The sequence below is a fragment of the Homo sapiens genome, chromosome 1 (assembly GCF_000001405.40).
Source record: "Homo sapiens chromosome 1, GRCh38.p14 Primary Assembly".
Classification (NCBI taxonomy): Eukaryota; Metazoa; Chordata; class Mammalia; order Primates; family Hominidae; genus Homo; species Homo sapiens.
Genome location: NC_000001.11, coordinates 52,570,971 through 52,581,715, shown reverse-complemented (window position 1 = coordinate 52,581,715; position 10,745 = coordinate 52,570,971). Strand labels below are relative to the sequence as shown.

General features: G+C 43.4%; 1 pseudogene, besides 1 other annotated feature; it reads right to left on the bottom strand.

Moving 5' to 3' along the window:
• Positions 7,817-8,609, bottom strand: EEF1GP7 (eukaryotic translation elongation factor 1 gamma pseudogene 7; annotated as a pseudogene).
• Positions 9,919-10,419: an enhancer, noted in NCBI's record as "H3K4me1 hESC enhancer chr1:53036969-53037469 (GRCh37/hg19 assembly coordinates)". NCBI's record gives its function as "activates a minimal SCP1, AML or CMV promoter by ChIP-STARR-seq in primed H9 embryonic stem cells {active_cell/tissue: H9 hESC(primed)}" and the evidence as "EXISTENCE:reporter gene assay evidence [ECO:0000049][PMID:30033119]".

Sequence of the window (10,745 nt, the reverse complement as noted above, 5' to 3'; positions counted from 1 at the left end):
ATCTCCAAGCCCTTCTAAACCAATGCTATTATTGTACGCACTGGCAACTGGATGTTCAGACTTGTTCAAGGTCACACAATGTTGGTGGCGCAGCAAGGACTGGAATTCAAACTTTCTAATTCCCCATCTATACTTTTCCCTCAGCAGTGTAGTATGATAATGGGACTAAAAACATAGATCTAGAGCCAGGGTAAGCCCATTAGCTTGCCACTGCCTTGCCACTATCAACTGATGCCAGTGGGTCATTGATCTTTTCAGTGGGAGCCTCTGGTCACTTCCAGTGGGGTTGTGGGGAAAGCATAAAAGCAGACAGATACCCCCTTCTTTTGTTAACTCCATATTGACGCAGTTATACAACATGCAAGTATTATTCACAAAGAACTGTGAGTAAAGGAATAGGGTGGTTGGCTATTCAACAGAACTCTCCTACTGTGTTCTCCACAAGAGAGGGTCACCATATGAATGTGACAGTTATAATGTCCCTAGAGTGAGAGCTGGGCAACCAAGTTTCCTTTCTCCTTAGAAAACTGCCTACCACCTACAAATAACTATGAGTGACTAACAATAATCTTTACAATTGGTAGCTCTATGGCTCTTAGGAATAATGCAGAGGATGAATCAAACAAAAGGCTACTCTTAAGACAATTGCTGGCCAGCAAACCCAAACTGTGGAACATTCTAAAAATATCTAACCAGTACTCTTCAAATGCGCCAAAATTACAATAGAAAAGACTGGAGGAACCATCACAGATTGGAGGAGACTAAGGAGACTGACAACAAAATGCAAGGTGAGGCTGGCCACAGTGGCTCATGCCTGTAATCCCAGCACTTTGGGAAGCTGAGGTAGTGCGTGCCTTGAGCTCAGGAGTTTGAGACCAGCCTGGGCAAAGTGGAGAAACCCGGTCTCTACAAAAAATACAAAAATTAGCCAGACATGGGGGTGCACCCAGCTATTTGGGGGGCTGAGGCGAGAGGCTCACTTGAGCCAGGGAGGTCAAGACTGCAGTGAGCCATGATTGCACCACTGCACTCCAGCAACAGAGCTAGACCCTGTCCCAAAAAAACGAAAACAAAAAACAAACAAACAAATGCAATGTGAGACCCCAGACTGGATCCAAGATTAGAAAAAGGACATTGTGGAGAAACTGGTGAAATCTCAATAAAGATTTTAGTTTAATTAATAATATTGTGTTAATGTTAATTTCTAAATTTTGATAATTATACCATGATTGTGCAATATATTAGCATTAAAAAACTGGGGCTGGGCATGGTGGCTTACATCTGTAATTCCAGCACTTTGGGAGGCCGAGATGGGCAGATCTCTTGAACCCAGGAATTCAAGACTAGACCCTGCTTCTACAAAATACAAAAATTAGCCAGATGTGGTGGCGTGTACCTGTAGTCCCAGCTACTTGGGAGGCTGAGGTGGGAGAATCACCTGAGCCCAGGAAGTTGAGGCTGCAATGAGCCAAGATCCCGCCACTACACTCCAGCCTGGACAACAGTGTAAGATCCTGTCTCAAAAAAAAAAAAAAAAAATGGGTAAAGGATATATAGAGCTATCTGTACTGGTTTTGCAACTCTTTTTAAAAAATTATTTTAAATTAAAGAGTTTAAAAATACAAAATAACACTATACATTTTTCAGGGGTACAAATACATATTGTAAGTCTAGAAACACACATAGGAATGAAAAACAAATTCAAGACAGTGGATACCTCTGGATGCTTGGGAAGAGAGGATTAGACAACTGGGGAGGAGTACACAGGGGCTTCCATTTTATTGGTAATGTTTCATTTCTTAAGGTGGGTGATGGGAATACAGTATTCACTGTATTGTTTTGTATAATTTTGTGTATACCTGCAATATTTCCTTTAAAAATTGAATATATAGCTCAATGCCAAAATGAACATTTGTGATAAGGCCTTACCCTATTCCTTTGCATAGACTTCCCATTGAACAACTGCCAAAACCCGAGCCAAACTTGAGAAAGGTGAGTTGGTCAGCAGATTGTAAAGGACCTTGAATGCCTGCACTTTGTTCTAAGAGTAACAGATGCTATCAGAGGTTTTCAGCAGAGGAGGGATGTGGTCAGAGTCGTGTTTTGAGAAAATCACTCTGGTTACTGTGGAGAATGGATTGAATGGCATTTGAAAATAGAAACAAGGAGATAATTTAGGGAGGCTGTTGCAATAGTCCAGAATAAAGTTTATGAGGTCTAACTCAGGACAGTGGTGGTGGGCATAGACAGAAAGGGACAGATACAAGTGCTAAAAAGAAATAGAACAAGAATTGGAGAGGGATTGGATGTGTGGTAAGTGAAAAGGAAGACTCAAGGATGATGACTTTTCTAAACTTCTTTATGAAAGAGGAAATGCCCTTTGTGTCTTCAACAGACTGGGAGCTGCTTGAGGGTAGGAACTGTTCTTTCTTTGGCTCCTCCACACACCCAACTCTTGCCTTATGCCAGAGCTCACTAGTAAGGAAGGTTGGTAGGATCTGAAGAGGTGTTGGGTAAGATAGTCTGGGGCCAGAAGCAATAATATTCTGCTGCCCCGGCAAGGCTGTGGAGAAAAGGTGGCTCCTGCTGCTGGCTGGATGGGGCAAGCCTTTGAAGATCCAGGAAGAGGACCTGGAGCTAGAGATGAGTTGAAAGCTGGTATAAGTAAAGTAGAGCCAAGTGTGGTGGCTCATGCCTGTAATCCCAGCTACTCAGGAGGCTGAGGTGGGAGCATAGCTTGAGCCCAGGAGATTGAGTCCAGCTCGGACAACATAGTGAAACCTCATCTCTAAAAAACAAATGTAAGCCTAGGAAGGAATTTTGATAGCAAGGAGAGGATCACCAGAAAGAACAGAGGGAAGGCAGGGTGCTGTGGCTCACACCTGTAATCCCAGCATTTTGGGAGGCAGGAGGATCACCTGAGGTCAGGAGTTTGAGACCAGCCTGGCCAACATGGCAAAACCTCGTCTCTACTAAAAATGCAAAATAGCCGGGCGTGGTGGCAGGCGCCTGTAATCTCAGCTACTCGGGAGGTGAGGCAGGAGAATCGCTTGAACCCAGGAGACAGAGGTTGCAGTGAGGCGAGATCGTCCACTGCTCTCCAGCCTGGGCAGCAGAACGAGACTTCGTCCCCCCCGCCAAAAAAAAAAAAAAAAGAGTAGAGGGAAGAAAGTGGTATGAACAGAGGGCCACCTAAATCTTCCTGGATAAGGCATTGTTGCCTCAACTACTTGCTCTGCAGAGCAACAACCCTGATTTTTTTTTTTTTTTTTTTTTTTTTTTTTTTTTAATGGAGACAGGGTCCTGCTATGTTGCCCAGGCTGATCTCAAACTCCTGGGCTCAAGCTATCCTCCACCTTGGTCTCCCAAAGTGCTGGGATTCCAGGTGTGAGCCACCACACCCGACCACAACCTTGATTCTTAATGGTGGATGGGAAGTGCTTCTAGTACTAAATCACTACATGGTGATTCACTGATTTGATTAGTCTATTTTTTTTTTTTTTTTTGAGACAGTCTCACTCCGTCATCCAGGCTAGAGTGCAGTAGCATGATCTTGGCTCACTGCAACCTTCGCCTCCCAGGTTCAGCTGAGACTACAGGTGTGTACCACTATGCCCAGCTAATTTTTTTTTTTTTTTTTTGTATTTTTAGTAGAGATGGGGTTTCACCATGTTGGCCAGGCTGGTGTCAAACTCCTGACCTCAAGTGATCTGCCCACCTTGGCCTCCCAAAGGGCTGGGATTACAGGCATAAGCCACTGCACCTGGCCCTAGTTTGATTTAATGATTTTAATTAATTCCAATCTACCACGATACCACACAGAGATTGCTGAAAACCGAGCCACTAAAATCATACTTAAAAACACATAGTAGCACTTTATTCATTTTTTCAGTAACTTATTCAAAATAATTTTTATTGAGCATCTGTCTTATATGCTCTAGTCCAAGTGCTGAATTATGAAACTTACTATCTAAAGGACAGAGAATGAGTAAGTATTTACAAGTATGATAAATGACACCAAAGAAAAATATAAGGCATTAAAGGCCATATAATAGGAAGGTCTAATTGTGTCTTCAGGTCAAAGAAAGCTTCCTTCAGAAGTAATGTTTAAGCTGAAAGCTGAGTAGAAGTTAGTTAGATAAGCGCTGGGAAATGGGTGGGAAGACAATGGAAGTCGGCATGTGTGAAGGCCTAGAGGCTTTAAGCAGCCAAATTTTGTCCAGGGAACTGAAGGGTGTTTAATATTGACTGAAGCACAGAGTATGGGACGCAAGAAGAAACAGAGCTTGTTGGAGGTCAGTTCATTTAGGACTTTGTGGTCATGCTGGAGTATTCACAGATCCTCTGGGCCTGGCTTTGTTCTCAGTATGAGGAATACATAGAATCGAATCAGATCTTAATGCTCTTTAATCCAAGGCCTTAAATAGCTCACAATCAGGTAGGATAGACACATTTTGACAATGGTAGTGCAGCATGATAAATATGATAATAAAGAACTGATTTTCATGGGAATTTATAGGAGTGATAATTAAGAAATAACATTATTCCATCAATTGCCTTTTAAGTTATTTCACATTGCTTCCAAATTCTTACTAAACAAGCCAATTGTAAGACTAAGTTTAGATTAATGTTACTTTTAGACACACAGAAAAATGATTTAGCCATTTAGGCTAAAAAGCAATTTCTATTACAGTTCTTGCTCTTGCTTTTTGCCTCTATACTACATCTTTCTTTTTCTTTTTTTTTTTTTTTTTGAGATGGAGTCTCACTCTGTGGTCCAGGTTGGAGTGTAGTGGTGTGATCTCGGCTCACTACAACCTCTGCCTCCCAGCTTCAAGCAATTCTCGTGCCTCAGCCTCCTGAGTAGCTGGGACTACAGGCATGTGCCACCACGCCCGGCTAATTTTTGTATTTTTCATAGAGATGGGATTTTACCACGTTGGCCAGGCTGGTCTCGAACTCCTGACTTCAGTGATCCGTCCACCTCGGCCTCCCAAAGTGTTGGGATTATAGGCATAAGCCACTGCGCCTGGCTAATACTACTTCTTTCTTTTCAACTCTCACTTATCCTTTAAGACTCTGGTGAGCTTTCCCCCTTCCACTTTACCTCAAGTAGAGTTAGAAATCTTTCCCTCTATGTCCCTGAAGGACCCTGGGATCTCTATTATAGCACTTATCACAATATACTACAAGTGTTTATTTTCCTGTATCCCCTCTAGGCTTTTATTTCCCCCAATAGAGTTCTGTATTTTTTTATTTTTTAAGAAAAAGGGTCTTGCTCTATTGCCCAGACTGGGGTGCAGGGGCACAATCATAGCTTACTGTAATTACTCATGGGCTCAAGAGATCCTCCCACCTCAGCCCCCTGAATAGCTAAGACTACAACCACACACCACCATGCCAGCTAATTTATTTATTTTTGTAGAGATGGGGTCTTGCTATGTTGCCCAGGCTGGTCTTGAACCTTTGGCCTCAAGTGATCCTCTTGCCTGGGCCTCCCAAAGCACTGGGATTATAGGAATGAATAGTGCCTGGCCTCCCACTAGACTTAAGCATAGAGATTTTGTCTTGCTCATGCTTCAATCTGTCATTCGATAAATATGTGTCAGGTACCTACTATATGCCAGACATCAGGCTAGGTGCTGCAGATTCAGTGACGACCTGGATAGACTCAGTTCTTGCTCTTGTAGAGCTTATAGTCTAGTGCAGAAGGTTGACAAGCAAATGGGCAAGAAGAGTATGTATGAAAAATGTTATGATGAGGAAAGTGTCAAGTGCCATGGGAAGCCCAGAGCAGGTGTACCTAACTTTCTTTAGGGGGCAAATGGAAGTCTTTCAGAAGGAAGCAATTTAAGCTGAGAATTGAAGAAAAAGTACAAGTTAGTTAGTCAATGTGGCAGTCATGGGTCAGAGGTGGGAGAGAGCACAACACATTCCAGAAACTGAAAGAGGACTGGGCACGGTGGCTCATGCCTATAATCCCAACACTTTGGGAGGCTGAAGTGGGAGGATTGCTTGAGTCCAGGAGTTTGAGACCAGCCTGGGCAACATAGCTAGATTTTATCTCTCCAAAAACATATTAAAAATTAGCCAGGTGTGATGATGGGCACCTGAAGTCCTACGTACTCAGGCTGGAGGCTGGAGGCTGAGGCAGGAGGCTCATTTGAGCCCAGGAGTTCCAGGCTACAGTGAACTATGATCATGCCACTACTCTCCAACCTGAGTGACAGGGTGAGACCCTGTCTCCAGCAAAACAAAACAAAGAAATTCACAGAGCAGTCGAGGTTAGGGGCAAGCAGTGAAGATTGTGTGAAGTGGGGTGTGGCCGGGGTGAGGAAAACAGAGATTGGTGTTTAGTGTGATAATTATACACATAGAAAACTCTATGTAAAGTGTTTGTTAAATGAATGGATGAGCCATTCCAAAACCTGAGAAAGAAAGACATTTGGGAAAAGCAAATTTGTTTGTGATTGTTCATTCCTTTGTTCACTGGGAGGCATTGTAGTGTGTTGGCTAAAAGTCTGGACTCACACCAACTGCTTGGGTTTGAATCCTGGCTTTGACAGTTAATAGCTGAGTGACCTTAGACAAATTACATAACTTTTCTATGTGCCATTTTCCTCATCTGTAAGAGAGAAATGATAATAATTCATAGAATTGTCATGAAGATTAAACAAGTTAATAATATTTGTAAAGCACTTGGAATAATGCCTAGAATTAAGCACTGACTGTTTGCTATTATTATTCCTCCATTCATTGAAACATTTATTGAGGGCCAAGTACCATGCTAGGTGCTGTGAAAATATGTGGCTTCAGCCATGGAGGAGGACCATAAAATCTGGTGAGGGAGAAGATTCATAAATAAGCAATTACAACACAATGTGATCAAGTGAGGCGATAGTGGTAAATCCTGCAGAACTGAACAAGACAGAGTGACTCATTCTCTCCAAAGAAGCCAAGGGAAGCTTCAGAGAGAAGAATGTATTTAAGTTGGGTGACGCAGAATGAACAGAGTTTGGCAGCAGACAAAAGCAGTATGGTTTATCAGGCCAAGGAAGCACCATGTTGCAAAGGTTTAGTAGGATGCAAGTCTAAGGCATGTTTAGGAAATGGCAAGGGGGTCTTGAGCACCTGTTATGTGCCAGGGTCTGTGCTAGGCACTTTTTATATGTTCTTTCACTTTCCATAAGAACTTAAGAGGTGAGAATTATGGTCTACATTTTTTATGAGAAGGTGATCTGAAAGATTGAGAGACTTGCTCAAGATCGTGGAAAGCAGTGGGTCTAAATTTGAATCCAAATCTATGTGACTCTAAGGTCTGTGTTCTTTGAGGAAAGGATGGGGCCTGACAATGACCTTGTGAAGTTTTTAGTGTAGCTAAAAGTACAATACTTTTATTTATTCCTTTATTTTTTAGAGTGAGGGTCTTACGCTATTTCCCAGGCTGGAGTGCAGTGGCGCAGTCATAGCTCACTGCAGCCTCAAACTCCTGGGCTCAAGCGAGCCTCCTATCTCATCCTCCCGAGTAGCTACGACTATAGGCATGCATCACCATGCCCAGCTAATTTTTAATATTTTTTTGTAGAGACAGAATCTTGTTTTGCTGCCTAGGCTTGTGTTGAACTCCTGGCCTCAAGCAATCCTTCCTCCTTGGCCTTCCAAAGTGCTGGGATTACAGGTGTGAGCCACCACTCCCGGCCCAATATTTTTATTTTAAATTTTAATAATGTTGGATGGCAATCTTGTTAAGTAGGCACTTGGTATTTCTCAGTCGTCATAAATGGAAAAAACTGACCTTAAATTAAACTTTTTTTTTTTCAATATTCAGTTTCTTTTAATGATCCCCATCTCCTTAAAGAACAGGTACAGGAAGCAAGGCAATGGCAAGAGCTGTTTACTTGAAGATCTTGCCCTGACTGAAGTTAGCCCACATGCTGGAAGGCCCTTTTCCAGGAACAGTACTCACAAACCAGTGTCTGGGTCTCCTTGCTGCCAGGATCCAGTTTCTGCCACGTGTATGACTCGAAGACCACCTGCCAATCTGGACTCAGTGTCAAGGCCTGTGAAGACCCAGGCTCCAGAAATGGAGCTGATATTGTTGCTTCCAAAGAGGATGGCACTGGCAAAGGCATTCTTTCTCAGTTTGTTCAACTGCTGGAACATTCCAGCGATGAGATTGCAACTCCAGAAGGTCTGGGTGAGCTTCTCAGGAAAGCAATACTCAGACCAACCATCCTTATCAGAGTGCTCCCGAAAATACGGCAGCACCACATTGTGTCCTTATAGGAGTACTTGTGCTTAAATTCATCCATCACAAAGGTACTCGGGCAAGTGAGCAAAGGGGTCTTGGCTATCCGATGCTCAGCAGCCAGTGCCTGCTCACATTCATCCATCTCCTCAGGAGCAGGGTCAGCCGCCTTTTTCTCCTTTCTGTTCAGCCTAGGGCTTCTGCTTTTCTTCCCGTGAACTTTTCTCCTGTGGGGTGTCCTTTTTAGGCCTGCTCTCTGCAAATATTTTAGCATCAAATAGGGCCATTTTCTCCTATCATTTTACTTCCCCCAAGACAGCCTGGAACTGGGGCTGGTTAATGCAGGTGAGAAAGTTAGTATCATGACCACTATTTGTGATTCTGTGATGTTCTGTGTTAATATCCTGAGGGTTTGTTAGGGGATTTCCCTTTTATACGTGTGTTTCCCAAATTGTCTTTTGAGGAGCCCTGGGGTGCCCTAGCTAACTGAGGGCTCTAGAGGATATTTTGACATTTTAGGAGAAATACAAGCTGGGCGCAGTGCCTCATGCCTGTAATCCCAGCACTTTGGGAGACCCAGGAGGGTGCATCACTTGAGGCTAGGAGTTCCAGACCAGCCTAGACAACAAGGCAAAATCCCGTCTCTACAAAAATCAGTTGGGCATGTTGGCGCACACCTGTAACTCCAGCTACTTGGGAGGCCAAGGCATGAGAATGGTTTGAACCTAGAAGGTAGAGGTTGTAGTGAGCTGTAATCGCGCCACTGCACTCCAGCCTGGGTGAGACAGCGAGACTCCATGTTAAAGAGAGAGGGAGAAGGGAGAGGGGAGAAGGGAGAGGGGAGAGGGGAGAGGGAGATTCAATATATGTCTGATACCACACAAGCTTGAGTTCAAGGTTTAAACATGTCTCTGGATGATGTCATGTCTTTTTGAAGCTGAGTTTTCAGAGGTTGCTGTAATAAAAAGCAAGTACCAAGTGAAAATCACTGTGGAACAATAAATGACTGTAGCAGCATACGATGAGATCCCAAAGTTTGAGAAGGGAATTGCTAAACAGGCACATACATCCCTTAGCACATAATTATGAATATTTAAGAATAAAAACTGGCTGGGCACAGTGGCTCATGCCTGTAATCCCAGCAATTCTGTTACCAGTGGAAGGTGCCCAGATTCTTGGCTTCTTGAAAAAATTGGACAAAACACACAAATAAAGCAAGGAAAGAATGAAGCAAGAAAAGCAGAGATTTACTGAAAACGAAAGTACACTCCATAGTGTGGGAGCAGGCCAAGCATATGGGTTCAGGAAACTGGTTACCCAATTTTCTGGGATTTAAATACCCTCTAGAGGCTTCCCATTGGTTACTTGAGGTACACCCTATGTAAATGAAGAAGTGGCCTGTGATTAATCTGATTGGTTGCAGAAGGCAACCAATCAGAGGCTGAAGTGACGTTACAAAGTTAAACCAATCTGATTGGTTGCTTTCTGCAACCAATCAGAGATGGAAGTGAAGTTACAAAGTTAAACCCATGCAAACATCTGATTGGTTGCAGAAGGTGACCAATCAGAGGCTGAAGTGAAGTTACAAACTTATACTCCTATGCAAATGAAAACTTGGCCTGAGACCAGCCTGATTGGTTGCAGAAGAGGACAAATCACAGGTACTTTCAGTTTTTCATCTGCCAGGCAGAAAAGTGGGGGATGCAAAGGGAGTAGCCTCTGGTCCTTTTGTTACTTGGGTGTGGTAAGTTGGAGTTTTCCCTTTGACTTAGTTCTAGGAAGTCAGAATGAATCGGACTTATGTTCCCTGCTTTCAGACCCTGTAGTGTGTAGTGCCTCACTTTGGGAGGTCGAGGTGGGTAGATCACTTGAGGTCAGGAGTTTGAGACCAGCCTGGCCAACATGGCAAACTCCATCTCTACAAAAAGGCGGAGGTTGCAGTGAGCCGAGACTACACCACTGCGCTACAGCCTGGGTGACAGGGCAAGACTCCATCTCAAAAAAAAAAAAAAAAAAATGCTGGGCATGGTGGCTGTAATCCCAGCACTTTGGGAGGCCGAGGCGGGTGGATCACCTGAGGTCAGGAGTTCGACACCGGCCTGGCCAAATGACAAAACCCCATCTCTACTAAAAATGCAAAAATTAGCTGGGTGTGGTGGCACACGCCTGTAATCCCAGCTACTCAGGAGGCTGAGGCAAGAGAATCACTTGAACCCGGAGGCGGAGGTTGCAGTGAGCTGAGATGGTGCCACTGCACCCCAGTCTGGGTGACAGGGCAAGACTCCATCTCAAAAAAAAAAAAAAAAGAAAGAAATGAATAAAAACTTATGTAATTATTATTTCAAATGGTTAGTAAATTATTAGGATGTAAATACTGATTAAGTTGTTTGGACTTAACTACTTAATAAAGAGAATTATTACTTTGGTTTTTTTGTAGGAGGAGTGGGCATGGAGAAGTCACCATGAAAAAATTACTGAGACACTAAAGGTGCCTTTG